The following is a 17,218-nucleotide window of genomic DNA, read 5'->3' as shown; positions in this document are numbered from 1 at the left end:
AAATGTCAGATCACTTGCCTGTGGTCATTCGGGTAGAGATTTGTGAAGCTAAGTTGGTCTTAATCAAATGTCAAGCTTTTTTTTTTCTTATAAAATATAGATTTTAATATGAGTTTTAAAATAAAATTAATTAGAAAAAGGCAAATTACTCAATATATAAAATGTATTGCATTTGTAATAGGTAGGTATTTCATTTTCTAGTTATGGTGGGATATTATTCAGACTATAATTCCCAATGAAAAAACTTTAAAAAATGCTAGTGATTGCACATTTAAAACACCTTTTAAAAAGCATTGAGAGCTTATAAAATTTTAATAAGTGATCAAACCAAATTTGAAGAGAAAAGAAGAACCCAGAGAGGTAAGGATATAACCTTACCAGTTGCAATTTGCCGATCTCTACAAATATTAATATTTATTTTGACAGTTTCAGGGTGAATGAGAAAGAAACCAAAACCGAAGACTAGCATATGTTAAGTCTTCTTAAGGAGCCCTCCCTTAAAAGATTGAGATGACCAAATCTTATACCCTCAGCATAAGGTGAACCAGACAGACCTAAAGCAGTGGTAGCTTGGATCCACTACTTGGGTTTGTGTGACTGCGTGACTCAGGTAATCTCAAAAATTGAACATTTTTTTAAGGTGGTCCTACTCGTATGCCCAGGTGTTAGGGAGAAGCAAATCTGAATGCTTTATAAAAATACCCTGAAGCTAAATCTTACAATATTCTCAAGAACACAGTGAAACAAGGCAAAATAAGTTAAAATCAACAAAAACAACATGAAACATAATTAGACCCACAAAGACTTCAAACATTGGACAATATCAGAGAAAGATAATAAATATTTTACTCTTTAAAAATTTAGTTAAAAGCTTAAACTAATTGTAGAGAAAAAACTGTGTTAGTATTATATTGTGGATGAAATAAGCAAAACATTTAAAATACAAATGTGATTACTTAAATTAAATATAATAGATAATTTACCACCAGATTAGATACCATTGAAGGAATAATTAATATACTGAAATACAGGTCAGTAGAAGTTTTTTTCAATTCAGCATGGAGATGTAAAAAATGAAAATTAATGCAAAAAATAAGGGCACAAAAAGAAATGAGTAATTTTGATCAGAAATGTATTAAAATTAATAAACTGGAAATTTGACATTTAAAAAAAAGCATTGTCGTCCAAGTAGATGTGTCTATTAAATAGTTGTTCTCATATCCAGTAATGTAATTATTATTCCCCCTCATGCAGTTCAGATTCTGGGGTAATCTTTAGACATCAGTTTTATCTTTTATATTATTTATTCTGTTTACTACATTTTATTTTGCTAATGATATTTTTAATTTCTGACATTCTGGAGTATTGCTTGTAAAAGGTATTTTTAAAGATATTTTATGGTTATTTTTGTGATTCCTATTCCTGTATGGACACCAAGGCTATTGACATTTTCTTTAGTTTCTTCTGTTAATTCTATTTTCTTAGTGTTTATATCATTTCATAGATAGGATATTCTTTATTTTTTATTTTTATTTAAATATTTGGTGATTCTTGGTTTTCTCAGCCATCTATTGTCAAGTGTTCTTATTAAGCATTGTTATTAAATAAAGATTATTTCCTCTAATCACATGAGAATCTTTATTTCCCCCAAGTAATTGAAAATTGCAATGCCATGCTGCCATGTGGTACAGCATGGGTTTGGGCTTGCTTTCTTCTTTTTTTTTTAACTTTTATTTTAGGTTTGGGAGTACCTGTGAAAGTTTGTTATATAGGTAAACTCGTGTCATCAGGGTTTGTTGTACAGATCATTTTGTCACCTAGGTACCAAGTACTCAACAATTATTTTTCCTGCTCCTCTGTCTCCTGTCACCCTCCACTCTCAAGTAGACTCCAGTGTCTGCTGTTCCCTTCTTTGTGTCCATGTGTTCTCATAATTTAGTTCCCCACTTGTAAGTGAGAACATGCAGTATTTTCTAGTATTTGGTTTTTTGTTCCTGTGTTAATTTGCCCAGTATAATAGCCTCCAGCTCCATCCATGTTACTGCAAAGAACGTGATCTCATTCTTTTTTATAGCTCCATGGTGTCTATATACCACATTTTCTTTATCTAAACTCTTATTGATGAGCATTGAGGTTGATTCTATGTCTTTGCCATTGTGCATATTGCTGCAATGAACATTTGTGTGCATGTGTCTTTATGGTAGAATGATATATTTTCTTCTGGGTATATATGCAGTAATGCGATTGCTGGTTGGAATGGTAGTTCTGCTTTTATCTCTTTGAGGAATTGCCATGCTGCTTTCCACAATAGTTGAACTAACTTACACTCCCACTAACAGTGTGTGTTTCCTTTTCTCCACAACCTGCCAGCATCTGTTATTTTTTGACATTTTAATAGTAGCCATTTTAACTGGTATGAAATTATATTTCATTGTGGTTTTAATTTGCATTTCTCTAATGATCAGTGATATTGAGTTTTTTTTTTTTTTCACATGCTTGTTGGCTACATGTACGTCTTCTTTTGAAAAGTGTCTGTTCATGTACTTTGCCCACATTTTAGTGGGGTTGTTTTTCTCTTGTAAATTTGTTTAAATTCCTTATAGGTGCTGGATTTTAGACATTTGTCAGACGCATAGTTTGCAAATAGTTTCTCCCACTCTGTAGGTTGTCTGTTTATTTTGTTAATAGTTTCTTTTGCTATGCAGAAGCTCTTAATAAGTTTAATGAGATCCTGATATGTTTAGGCTTTGTATCCCCACCCAAATCTCATCTTGAATTATAATCTCCATAATCACCACATGGAGAGACCAGGTGGAGGTAATTGAATCTGGGGGTGGTTTCACCCATGCTGTTCTTGTGATAGTGAATGAGTTCTCACGAGATCTAATGGTTTTATGAGGGGCTCTTCCCAGCTTTGCCTGGTACTTCTCCTTCCTGCCGCCTTGTGAAAAAGGTGCATTGCATCCCTTTCACCTTCTCCTATAATTGTAAGTTTCCTGAGGCCTTCCCAGCCATGCTGAACTTCAAGTCAATTAAACCTTTTTCTTAATAAATTACTCAGTCTCTGGTGGTTCTTTATAGCAGTGTGAAAATGGACTAATGAAGTTCCCATTTATGAATTTTTGCTTTTGTTGCAATTGCTTTTGACATCTTAGTCATGAAATCCTTGCCTGTTCTAAGTCCAGGATGGTATTGCCTAGGTTGTCTTCCAGGGTTTTTCTAATTTTGTGTTTTGCATTTAAGTGTTTAATCCATCTTGAGTTGATTTTTGTATATTGTGTATGGAAGGGGTCCAGTTTCAATCTTTTGCATATGGCTAGTTAGTTATCCCAGTACCATTTATTGAAAAGACAGTCTTTTCCCCATTGCTCGTTTTTGTCAGTTTTATTGATGATCAGATAATCATAGCTGTGTGGCTTTATTTCTGGGTTCTCTATTCTGTTCTATTGGTTTATGTCCCTGTTTTTGTGCCAGCACCATGCTGTTTTGGTTAACATAGCCCTGTAGTATAGTTTGAGGTCAGATAGCCTGATGCTTCCAGCTTTGTTCTTTTTCTTAAGATTGCCTTGGCTATTTGGCCTCTTTTTTGGTTCCACATGAATTTTAAAACAGTTGTTTCTAGTTTTGTGAAGAATGTCATTGGTAGTTTGATAGAAATAGCATTTAATCTGTAAATTGCTTTGTGCAGTATGGCCTTTTAATGATATTGCTTCTTCCTATCCATGAGCATGATATGTTTTCCATTTTGTTTGTATCCTCTCTGATTTCTTTGTGCAGTGTTTTGTAATTCTCATTGTAGAGATTTTTCACCTCCCTGGTTAGTTGTATTTTACCCTAGATATTTTATTCTTTTTGTGAAAATTGTGAATGGGATTGCCTTCCTGATTTGACTGCCAGCTTGGTTACTGTTGGTTTATAGAAATGCTAGTGATTTTTGTACATTGATTTTCTTTCTAAAACTTTGCTGAAGTTTTTTTTATTAGCAGAAGGAGCTTTGCGGCTGAGACTATGGGGTTTTCTAGATATAGAATCATGTCAGCTTCAAATAGGGATAATTTTACTTCCTCTCTTCCTATTTGGATGCCCTTTATTTCTTTCTCTTGCCTGATTACTCTGGCTGGGATTTCCTATGTTGAATAGGAGTCATGAGGGAGGGCATCAAATCTACACATATCAAATACTAACCTTGAATGTAAGTGGGCTAAATGCCCCACTTAAAAGGTAAAGGGGGGCAAGCTGAATAAAAAAGCAAGACTCAATGGTATGCTGTCTTTGAGACCTATCTCACATGTGATGACACCCATCGGCTCAAAATAAAGGAATGGAGGAAAATCTACCAAGCATGTAGAAAACAGAAAAAAGCAGGGGTTGCATCCTAATTTCAGACCAAACAGACGTCAAACAAACAAAGTTCAAAAAAGACAAAGAAGGGGCCGGGAGTGGTGGCTCACACCTGTAATCCCAGCACTTTGGGAGGCCAAGGTGGGCGGATTACAAGGTCAGGAGATCGAGACCATCCTGGCCAACATTGTGAAACCCCATCTCTACTAAAATCCAAAAAAAAAAAAAAAATAAGCTGGGCTTGGTGGTGTGTGCCTGTAGTCCCAGCTACTCGGGAGGCTGAGGCAGGAGAATCACTTGAACCCGGGAGGCGGAGATTGCAGTGAGCTGAGATTATGCCACTGCACTATAGCCTGGCGACAGAGTGAGGCTCCGTCTCAAAAAAAAAAAAAAAAAAAAAAGACGAAGGGCATTACATAATGATGAAGGGTTTTACTCAACAAGAAGACCTTACTAACTTAAATATATATGCACCCAACACAGGAACACCCAGATTCATAAAGTAAGTTCTTAGAGTACAAAGAGGCTCCCACACAATAATAGTAGGAGACTTTAACACACCACTGATAGTCATAGACAGATCATCAAGGTAGAAAATTAACAATGATATTCAGGATCTGAACCCAACATTCCACCGAATGAGTCTGATAGACATCTACAGAACTCTCCATCCAAAAACAACAGAATATACATTCTTCTCATCTCCACATGGCGCATGCTCTAAAATTGACCACATAATGCCTTTCTTTTCAGTGGTCCATATGTAAGTCTTTTGAAAGTGGCAGCATCTCTACTGCTCATGCTTGTTGCAAGGAACTCTACTGAATACAAGGAACTTTACTAATCTCTAATGCTTGTGAGTAGATTCTGAACTCATCATTTAGAAAGCTAAACTGGGGGCTTTCTTCCCAGAGCAAAGACATAAAACAAACCTCAATTGAGCGTGGGACAGGGAGTCATGTGCTATAAATTTCTTGGACAGTTCTTATTCTATGGACCAATTACCATTCCCTTGTATCTCTAATTTTGGGATTATTTCTGGATTAAAACACAAAAAAAATCAGACTGTAAAAAGTCATCATTTCTACCAGTGTGAGAATATGTATTCCTCACCTTTACTGGGATTCACTGCCAGTATATATGCAAATGACTTATACACACACATACACGCACATACACACACACGTGTGTGTGTGTAGGTATGTCTGTAATAGGTATTTATATGTTTGCCTGTCTTTCTATTAGAATTGAGATACAGCAAAATGCACAGAAATTAAGCATTCAATTTAGTAAGTTTTCACAAATGTACATATTTAATCAATATCTCAATCAACGCAAAAACCATTGTTTCACCTCTGAAGATAATTTTTAATCTTTTGCAAATTATTGAGACTTATTTAATGGCCGAGACTACACAGTCCTTCGTAAACATTCCATGTAAATTTGATAAAAATATTTTCATGAAATTTTTTGTGTAGTGTTCTAAAACTTGAAATTAGACTACATTAGTTGATAGTATTATTAGAATCTTCCAAATCCTTACTAATTTTTATTTGTTCATCTATTGTTTATTTTGAGCCGATGATTAAAATCTTCAACTATGAGTGAAAGTCTATTTCTCTGTTTAGTTCTGTCTGTTTTTACTTCATGCATTTTGACACTCTGTTATCAGTTGTATAAACATTGAGAATTATAATGCATTGCTAATGAGCTTAACCTTTTATCATTCCATCTCTGATATTTCAGCTTATTTTGAATCCTACTTTCTCTGGTATTAGCCAGCTACATCAGTTTTACTTCCTTTCATTTTCAACCAATTTTATGACTCCATCTCAAAAAAAAATGCATTCATTGTACAGAGCATATAGTTTTGTCCTTTTTAAATCCAGTCTCAAAATTGCTAGCTCTTAATTTAAGTGTGTTATGGGTTGAATTGTCTGCCAAAAAAAAACATATGTTGAAGTCCTTACCCCAGTAATTAAGGATGCAACCTTATTGAAAGATAGGATCTTTATAGATGTAATCAAGTCAAAATGGGATCATTAGAGTGGCCTGTAATCCAATGTGACTGGTGGCCTTATGAAAGGGGGAAATTTGGACACAAAAATGCCACCAGAAAGCACAACATATGAACATGAAGAAAGCCATCTAAAAGCCACGGAGAGATGTCTAGAACAGATTCTTCTTCACAGCCTTTAGAAGGAACCAGTACCTTGAATTCAGACTTCTAGCCTTCAGGACTTGAGATAATACATTTTTGTTGCTTGAGGCACCTAGTTTATGGTACTTTGTTATATAACCCTAGGAAACTAATATAAATGTTCAATCCATTTACATTTAATCAGTGATGTCAGTGTTGTTAAATCTACCATGTTACTATTTGCCTACTATTTTCTTATTTGGGTGTTGTTCTCTTCCCTTGGTTGTTGATATTTCTTTCTTCACCGGTTCAGTGTTACCTTCCTTAGAGTAAATGGATATTTTTCAATATTTCATTTTAATTATGCTATTGGCTTTATACCCTTCATACATGTGTTCTTGTTGATTCGATGTTCTTGGATCTCTGCATTGAAATTTTTCATCAAAATTTGAAAACACTGGCAATTATTTCTTCAAATATATTTTTTCTTTCCCGTTTTCTGACTCATCCTTTTGAGACTTCATTTGTGTATAGGTTTGATGGCTTGATATCCCATGTCATTCAATCTCTTATTTTAATCATTTTCCTCTTTTGTTTGAGATTAGATAAATTCAAAAATGGTTTTCAAGGTTATTTGTCTGCTTTTCAGATAGCTGAAATCTGAGAGTATACCCTGCCAGTGACTCTTTCATTGTATATTTTGCACTTGTTACTTCAACAATGTTCATTTCTCAAAATTACCTTTTTCGTTCTATCATTGTGACAATATCTCCATAGTCTAAGGACATATTCATAATATATATCTGTTGATTTCAATGCCTGGGTCATTATGATGTATGTTCTATTGACTGCTTTTTTCCCCTTGATTATTTATTAAATTTTCCTGCTTCTTTGCGTAACTTGTATTTTTGACTAATACACTGTAGAAAATCTAGACGTTGTCTTCTTGTAAAAGGCCCTAAGATAGTCCTTTGAAAGCTGTTAAGTGGCTTCCAGATCCTTTTGATCTGCCATGCCTGGTTTCATTATTTGTTAATGAAAATCTCTTTCATTTTTGTTCTTAAAGATAGGACATAGTCTTTACTGAAAGAAATAGTCCTTGTTCTTAATGCCTGGAATATTCCGTAAAATATCTTCCCTGTGGCTAGTCAGTAACCCAAACATCTCCTTGTCCTGTTACTACTGATATCTTATTCCCACAGTATCTGCTTTCAGCAGGTCTTGCAGATGTTAACCCTGCTCAGGTATAGAGCAGCTTTTGACGAAATTGGTGCCAAATACTTATTCTGGCTTCTGTAGGCCTACCCCATGCCTCTTTTTCCTTTCCTATACAAATTTCAGCCACTTCAGCAGCTCTTAAATAACAACCACTTAAGCAAGTGTAAGCTATTTACAAATATCGATAGATAGATAGAGAGAGAGAGAGATGATATAGATAGAGATTTAATTGTAATTTTAGATTCAGGGGGTATATGTGCAGGTTTGTTACAAAGTTATATTGCTTGCTGCTACTGTTTGGGCTTCCACTGATCCTGTCACCCAGGTAGTGAACTGAATACCTAACAGGAAGTTCCTTGGCTCTTGTCCCTCTACCCCTACCTCTTTTTGGAACCTAATTAAACTAAGAGCTTCTGCATAGCAAAAGAAATTATCAACAAATAAGCAGACAACCTACAAAATGAGAGCTTTAAGCTTTAATTTCTTCCTCTAAACTCATTATTTTTAGAGTCTGCCTCCTTGTTTAATGGGAGAAAAAGTGCCCCTAGTCACATTCTCTGGTTAAATGTGGTACTTACCTCACAGCTTTCTTCTCTCTTGAGTATGAAAAACTTGTACTTCTTGTTTGATGCATAAAATCTGGTTCCTCATATATGTTGCCCAGTTTTATCATTGTTTATAGTGAAAAGGCAAGTCCCTCCAATAATTCTATTATGGCCAAAGACTAAAGTGCCTCTGATATGACTTATGTCCTTCAGAAATTGCTTACTCTTTAGTCTGTTGGTAGAATTCTTCTCAACTTTCCATAGTTATTTTAATAAGTACTGTATTTTCCTATTTCAATGGCAATTTGGAATAAAGGAGAAATAAATGTATTTGTTTGGTCCATCTTTGTGTATTCAAACTGTTAAGTCATTACTTTTCACGTCCACTACACATATTACTGCACAGTAATTCCTTGTTTACACCTATAATCTCCCTCTCCTGTTTTCCTAGTTTCTATTCAAGTATTTGGGGTAACTGATATTTCTTAAAACAATATGTATTCTTGGAAAGAGATGTTTCTAGAATCCCCTTCTTAGGTGACTTATTAGGAAAAATTATAAGAATAAGAACGAGAATAGAGAAGAAAAGTAATTGAAGACATCCACTTCAACTCTAAATCCCCATAGGAGAAAAAAGGCTAGCACTTATTTAAATGCCCTTCTTAGGTGACTTATTAGGAAAAATTATAAGAATAAGAATGAGGATAAAGAAAAGTAATCGAAGATACCCACTTCAACTCTAAATCCCCACAGGAGAAAAATGGCTGGCACTTATTTAAACTCATCTAGGGTTTAGTTTTGCTGATGTTGTTTTTCCAATAATAATCTGTTTCAATTATTATAACAGCAATTTCAGTGAAATACGGTACTTACCAGCTAAGTTTTACACAGGGAAGCACTTTCCTAAACACTTCCCCATCCTTCTTCAAAGTTTGAATCCAAATCTTTTGTACTCCAGGGCTTATTTTGTTTTTCCTACAGCATTCTGCCTTTCTAGAATTAGCACTAGTTACCCTCAGGAAAAGCAAATACATGGACCCATAAAATAATCTTTGGAAGTCTTTCTTCTCCTGCTGGTTACCAAATTATAATCTTCTTATTGTAATAATAAAATAAAATACAAAATAAAAAGAACTATTTTACTCTAATAAGTTTCCCATTAAGCTAAGCCTGCTTTTGTTGTATTAGAGATTAACATATGTAGACAGTGTTCTTTTTGACTGGAAATGGGGATTAGTTATGGTTCAAGTAATGCATAAACAAGATGTATTTTTAAAAATACGTCATATTTATGCATTATATTTAAGCAGCCATTTGTAAAAAGCTGAAACTTATTAGAAAGTGAATTCTTCATAATCATGTGTGTATTTTCAATGTTTAGGATTATTTGTTAGCTTAGGTATAGACTAGATTATTTTTCTAAACAAACAGGAATAAGAAATATAGGTAGTAAAATTTACATGACCTGGTAAAATTTAAAATATCCATTCTGACTAACAGGCAGTGATGAGAACAATAAATAAAATATATCTTGGTTTAAATTCTAAGTAAATATATTTGACAATATAAATATAAACATACTCATATGAGTGAATTGCTTCTAATTCTGGCTTTTAGCTAAATAAGCACTTAATGCTAGTAAGAAAAATACATTATTTCATAAAGATAACAAATTCTTTCAGAAATAGTAATTATATTTTTAAAGAGTTTGGGGAAAATAGAAGTGTATACTCTAATCTTATAGCAAAGTTTCTGCTAAGTTTTTGTGATGCCAGTGTTTTCATTATGAATCATTTCACTGTCAAACAAAATGTACACTGTTGATTAAACACAGGCAAAAAGAGACGGAAAGAAAAAGGTATATTAAAAAAAAGACCTTTGGTTATTCTGGCTGCCACCAATTGCTTTCTTGTTTCAGCTGAATTTTGAAGTAGCTAATCATATTTTGGCATTTTCTTGTCATCAAAGCATTTCGTGAAATTATCCCATTACAATGTTTTTCTCAGAGGCAAAATTAACATGGTTGACAGTTTAATTGACATATTTCTTTTTCGTTGTGTGCCTTTGCCAATTAAACAAATTGCACCCTATTTTGATGTTCATTTTGTTAATTATTTGTAAAACTGTAGACTCTGATTTTTTTTTTTTTTAATTTTCAGGTGTCAGTTTCTTGGTCGGGAATGAAAATAGTGCCAACCTGTGATACCTTCACTCTAATTTTACTTTCTGAGGAAGTTTTCTGTAATAGTTATTTGGTGATAATTATTAATACTGGTGAGTTTTAAAATTTTTGCTTTCAGCAATTTTCCATTTTTTTCAACATACTTATATCGCAATGAGGCAACCAAATATGAATCCTGAGAATGAAGATGGAAAATGAATATTTTAATCCAATATCGAGTTGTTCTTTCAACATTTTTAGTTTTAGTTTTAATCGAAAATATAAAGTTACATAATTGTGTGAGGAATAATTTTTGCAGAGAAATTTTTAAAAATTCACAAAAGGAAAAAGAAACCTTTACCATGAGTCTATAACATTGAAAGACTGTGTTTAAGTTATTTTAATAAAGCCAAACCAACACTTTCAGCAGGAACTAAATGGCAGCATCTGATTTCACGCTGATACATATGTATTAGTGTGGTGCTCACTTTTACCCTTCATTTTACCTTGGGTCTTGCCATTTTCTTTCTTTTTATTTTTATGTTTTTTTGTGTTTTGTTTTCTTTTGGAAGAGGTAATTTTTAGGGAGAAAAAAAACACTTTTTCCTCATAGGTCGATTTAAAATGTTGGCCTTACCTTAATCTCCTCTCTCAAACTCAATCCACTATGTAATGGGTCAACATACTTTTCTGTGAAGGAGCAGATAGTAAATATTTTAGTCTTTGCAGGCCATATGGTCTCTGTTGCCAGCTCTTCCATTGTGGTGTGAAAGCAGCCATAGACAACACAGAAATGAATAAGTGTAACTGTTCCAATAAAAACAGATGATATGTTGAATTTAGCTCACAGAGTTTAGCTTGCTGCCCCTGCAGGAGGCCTTTGGAGTAAAAGCTTCCTGAGAGGAGGACTTTTTGTCTTTTTTGCTCAAGTTCTAGCTCCAGTACCTAAAATAGTGCCTGTCACGTAGGTATTGATGAATATTGGAACCTGTTGAACATACACCTAAAATAAAACATTTGGCAAGATACAGTACTACACAATTTGGAGAACACTTGGCTCCCATAGAAATCAAAGCCTTCCTGAGTAATTAATTATTTGGCCTGATGATGAATTACTGTGCCTGAGATGATAGAGCTAATTTATTTTTCAATTCACTCAGGGGACACACGTTATTTTCACTGTGAATTTGGTTAAAATGAAAAGATTTCCTGCTCTAAGTCCTGGATAGACCTTTATGTAATAGCATACTCTTCACTCTTTTTGAATCGCATGCAGTTGTCAGACTGGATGATTTCCAGACAGAGGTTCCAAGTCTTTCATCATGTTTGGGTTAAAGACCTCATTAACATACTAGTCCTGCCATTTGAGTCTGTTCTCTTCACGGAATATTTTCACCTGAATCAGTGGGTATAATTCATCAGTGTCTGGTTGCTTCAAGTTATTTTTCTTAATGCTGATGTTAATGCATGCCCATCTTTATGCCTCAACACATTGCACAATGAAAAACAAAAATTATTTTGGAAGACACAGCTGACATCTATATGAAATATTCAGTATCAGTGATTGAACTTCAGCAAGCTCCTGTGGCCAGCAGGGTTTTACGGAGGTGCAACTGCTCTCCCACGATCACTTATCATAAAGCCAGAGACAATTGGGCCAATGTAGCCTCTTGCCTGCTTTTGTGTACAAAATATAAATAGAATAGAGCAAATAAGGAAAAATAGTCCCGCAGCTGGAAGGCAACTTTAAAGAAAAATGATGTTCATAGCTGTCTTGCCAGTAGCTGGCAAAGCAGTTTTTATAAGACATATTTAATGTTTACAACCACTTGGAGGCTGGGGAAGGAGTAATACTTTGAAAATATGTTTAATGTTGTGAACCACTCTGTGGCCGAGAAGCAACTCCGGCTAAAATATATTTAATGCTTAGAGTCATTTGGCGGTTTCGAAAAAAAGAAACTTCTTGTTAATTTTTAACATTTATTGCTGATCAGTGGCTGCTAAAGTAACTATCAGTACAGCATGATTTATATTTAGGGACACGCTGTGCTGCTACTAAAACAATTCATACTCTTCTCTCAAGGCTACACAAAAAGTGTCAATAGCATTACCTTTGCAATTGCACCACTAATAAAAACATAGGAATCAAACAGACGAATAAAATGCTCCCTGCCCACACAGCCATAACATCCTATGGCCCTGAAAATAGTTCTGCCAAGCTGCGTGCAGTGGACACTTCACGGCTGGCACAGGAGAGATCACAAGGCCTTGCTCAATTTCATCAAAAGTGTTAAAGCGACTCAGCAGATTGTGAAGCACAAGTGGAAGCTGATAATTGGTGTTTCTTACAAATCAACGGCTTGTCTCCACACATCAAGGTAAAGGCGTCCTCTACACCAAAGAAAATGTAAATTGGGATAGAAGGTCATTATGTTTTTAAATAAACTTGGTTAAATTTGTAGAAAGGGCAATGGTAAATACTGAGCTCACATGTCAGATGGAGAGAAAACTTGAGAAAAGGGAAGAAGATAATGAGCTGGAACCTTTACCATTTAGACTTTCTCTGGCTAGCTTTCTGAGAATGATCATCAAACTCTTATGAGGACCCTTTCCAATGTATTGACTGCACTTCCCCAGGGATTGTGGCAAATGGTAAATATATATTTTCTCCTTGCTACTTGCAATAACCCTGCTCATAAAGTGTTACTATTATTCACTTGCAGGTGAGAAAATCAATGTAAAAGAGGAGAAATAACCCACACAACCACATACAACTAGGAAATGATAGATGGATCTGAAAAAAAGGATATGCACTCTTAACAAGTTCAACACCCAAGTACTATTGCAAGTACCAGCTGTATTTCATGGAAAAAAAAAAAAGAATAACTCAAAAGGCAGAACGAAGAGCCTAGAGGTCAGAGATGAGAGGCATGAATAATTATTCACAGGCGTTGAATATAATCAAATGACTTGCAACATTTACCACTGGGATTTTAAAATGTGGTGGACCAATCATTCTTTTAGTCTGTGCATTTTCCCATTTTTTTCAACAGGAATGTCTAGAGACATTATTCCTGTTTTGCCACTGTATTTTTGGTGAATGTGTAGTAAGTAACTGGCCTCTTTAGTATCACAAAGCTGGATGAAGAAAATGTGGTACATATACACCATGAAATACTATGCCGCCACAAAAAGGAAATGAGATCATGTCCTCTGCAGGGACATGGATGAAGCTGGAAGCCATTATCCTTAGCAAAGTAACGCAGGAACAGAAAACCAAACACCACATGTTGTCTCTTAGAAGTGGGAGCTGAACGGTAAGAACACATGGACACAGGGTGGAGAACAATACACACTGGGGCTTGATGGGGGGTGGAGGGGAGGGATGGGGAGCATTAGAAAAAATAACTAATGCATGCTGGGCTTAATACCTATGTGATGGGTTGATAGGTGCAGCAAACCACCCTGGCACATGTTTATCAATGTAACAAACCTGCACATCCTGCACAGGTACTCCAAAACTAAAAGTAAAAAAATCTAAAAGAAAAAAAAAAAAGAATTAAACCCAAAATCACTTCCCCATCTGGACTTGATTTAGATGAAAAGCTTCTGGACTTTGAGCTGATGCTATAGTGGGTTGAAAATTTTGGGGTCCTCAGAAGGGGATGAGGATATATTGCATGAGAGAGCAACATGAATCATTGAGAGCCAGAGTATAGAGAGTGGTAGGTAGACTGTAGGAGAGCCCTCAATGATCCCGGCTTTCTTGTATTCGCGTTGCACTTACTTGTATAATATGGCAGATGGGATGTGATGTCACTTTCAAGATTAGGTTATAAATAGACTATGGCTTCAATCAGAGGGTTTTCTCTCTGTCTAGCTCTCTTTTGGGTAGTTCATTCTGAGGAAAGCCAGCTGCCACGTTATGATGTAGGCCTGTGAGGTCCACGTAGCAAAGAACATATGGAAGATTTCTACCACCCCCTAACTAAGCCTTTAGATCAGACCGCAACCCCAGCCAACAAGGTAGCTACAAACTCTTGAGAAGCCTTGAGACAGAGGTACTCAATAGAGCCATTCCTATGAGAAACGTAAGTATCTGCTGTTTTACACCGCTAAGGTTTTAGCTAATGTATTATGCCATAATAGATAAGTTATATACAACCTTTATCAAATAATAAAAGTAACCATCATCAGTAATGAGACAAATCAAAAACCATGGCCCACCCAATAGAACATAATGAGGAGAGTACAGAATTGCTTCTGGGATATTTCTGACAAAGATGTATATGCTTCATTCATACATGAGGAAACATCACACATACTCAAGATGGGAGAGCCATTCTAAAAAATAACTAGGCAGAAATCTTCAAAAATATTAAAGTCACGGAAACCAAGAAAAAATATGAACCTGTTCCAGATTAAAGGAAACTAAACAGACCTAACATTTTAATACAATGTTTGATTTTGAACTTGAACTTTTTGTTATATAAGACACTATTGAGACAAGTGCTAATGCTTGAATAGGGCTGAAGGATTAGATTATAATAATACATTAATGCAAATTTCCTGATTTTAAACATTGTAGTTTGATTGCACAAGGAGAATGTCTTTATGTGTGGAAAATAAATAGTCAACATTCTGTCTTCAAGCTTCTGAGAAAACTCTGCTTTTAGGGCATAGATAGAAGTGGATGATAATTCACCTGTTCCTCTGCTACTAATTGAGCTGCTCTCTGTTTCCATGGCTGGCTCATGGGATGAGAGAATATATCTAGTTTTTTATGTTTCAATTTGTCTCTCTATGGCATTTTTGTGAAAATAAGGAAGTGTGGAGACTTATATATGTTTCTAAATTGTAATAGTTCATTAATGTAAAGTACAGACACAGTCTTCACTTTTCCTTCTTAGACCGTTTAAATATGGCCACGAAACAAGTAGTCTCTGGTTGGCTGGGCACTGTGGCTCATGTCCTTAACACCAACACTTTGGGAGGCCGAGGCAGGCAAATCACTTGAGGTCAGGAGTTCGAGACCAGCCTGGCCAATGTGGCAAAACCCCATCTCTTCTAAAAATACAAAAATTAGCTGAGTGCGGTGGTGCACACCGGTAATCCCAGTTACTCGAGAAGCTGAGGCAGGAGAATCACTTGAACCTGGAAGGCAGAGTTTGCAGTGAGCCAAGACCGCACCACTACACTCCAGCCTGGGCAATAGAGCAAGACTCCATCTCAAAAAAAAAAAAAAAAAGAAAAAAGAAAATAGTCTCTGGTTAAATAACCTCTGAAAGACTCCACCAAAAATTTCATCTTAGCATTTCTCCCCAAACTTCATGTAAAATAAAATAGAGTTGAGAGAAAAATAGAAAGGCAAGGGAGTACCTGTTCACTATTTTTATTAAACCAGTGTTCTACTTTATTTTAGGTGTATCTTTTCTTATTTAAATGTCAGCTAAACTTTCTTTTTAAGATATTGAATGAAAGATGCCCATCCTTCAGGTTTCGTTTAAGCAAGAATCCCCATTCTCAAATAATATAATATAAACTTTCCAAATTCTTAAGTAGATCATCTGAGATTGAAAGCTAAGTTTAACTTTCTCAAAGATATTTTAGCCGCCATGACACCTAGACAAAGTGGTATATTAAATTCTGATTAATTTGGTCCTAAAGCACCTAAGAATCATTCTTACTTTCTTATCCACAGGGGTTATTAAGTTTTCACATTAAAAAAAATCCAACAGTGAATAATACTGCATTGGGGTTACTGTAATTGTTAAGTAAAATAAGAAATACAAATCTTTAGTTAGATCACATGGCACCTGACTACTGCTTAGAAAATGGTAAGACTTACTACATAAATCATGAGTCACTATTGACATCTACTATATCATATCATAGGTTAGGTATCTAATTATAAATAGTCAAATCAGCTGACTCAAGGTGGCATAGCTCAAGCAGAGGAAGATAATACAAGTTGAGTATGGATTTAACACTCTAAACCTGTCAGCACTGTAGGAAAAGTAACTTAAAACTGCACACCCCACTTATGCATAATCATCAGATATAAAGAGGGTACATTCCTGTAATTTATTGTTGCTCTAGTGATCTTAAAGAATTAAGTCCACATTCATAAAGTCCAAACTTGTCTCCAAGGATTTGCTTTGACTTTGGGAGTATCTGGATCATTAAGTAATTTCCGGAGGTCAGAGTAAAAGCTTTTTATCTCTAAATATTACTTCCCTGGAAAATTAGATGTAGCAGAAGTCAGTAACGGAGTGACCTTTGTCTTAAACAATTCATAGATTCACTGAAATTTTCTTCAACTTTAGGAAAATTAAATATATTCCACAGTGCTGTAAGTCTTAAATATTGATTTTCCTCTGAAATCTTGACTCATCCTACCCACCAACATTCTCCCTTTGTACACTATGTTCTTTGTAATGTTCACGTTACACAAGTGAAAATTAGTAACATTAGTAAATTTTCATTGCAGGTTTATTTGTTCATATTTCTGGATATATAATCCATTACTGTTAAACTTCATATCAATGTTCCGATATTTCTTCATCTTATGTTTTATGTTACAAAACAGGTTATTTCACTATATGTATTTTTAATTGATTAATTCTTCCCTTTTTTGGAAATGAAACAGCCCTCTCAATTATTGGGACAGAAAAGTTATTTCATAGGGAATACTTCAAACACTGATATCTACAACAGGCAGTAAGATTCGTCACAACAATTGGTATACTGTCAATATACCATACAAAGTTCCATCTGGTCTTGATTAAAAATTATTTTAGTTTTCTCAGGAAA

At 35.0% G+C, this 17,218-nt stretch overlaps 1 pseudogene across 2 annotated transcripts in view; it reads left to right on the top strand.

Moving 5' to 3' along the window:
- Window positions 1-17,218, top strand: part of GUSBP14 (GUSB pseudogene 14) — a 162,716-nt pseudogene that overhangs the window by 137,329 nt on the left and 8,169 nt on the right. Inside the window, exons 9-10 of one of the 2 annotated variants that reach the window (NR_029426.1) lie at window positions 10,404-10,518; window positions 13,129-13,987. The product of NR_029426.1 is annotated as a GUSB pseudogene 14, transcript variant 1 (transcript). Of the gene's footprint in view, window positions 1-10,403; window positions 10,519-13,128; window positions 13,988-17,218 lie in introns of those variants that run through there. The other variant, NR_024054.2, reaches the window with a different exon arrangement.

The sequence above is a fragment of the Homo sapiens genome, chromosome 5 (genome assembly GCF_000001405.40).
Source record: "Homo sapiens chromosome 5, GRCh38.p14 Primary Assembly".
NCBI lineage: Eukaryota > Metazoa > Chordata > Mammalia > Primates > Hominidae > Homo > Homo sapiens.
This window is presented reverse-complemented; position numbering and strand designations above follow the sequence as displayed.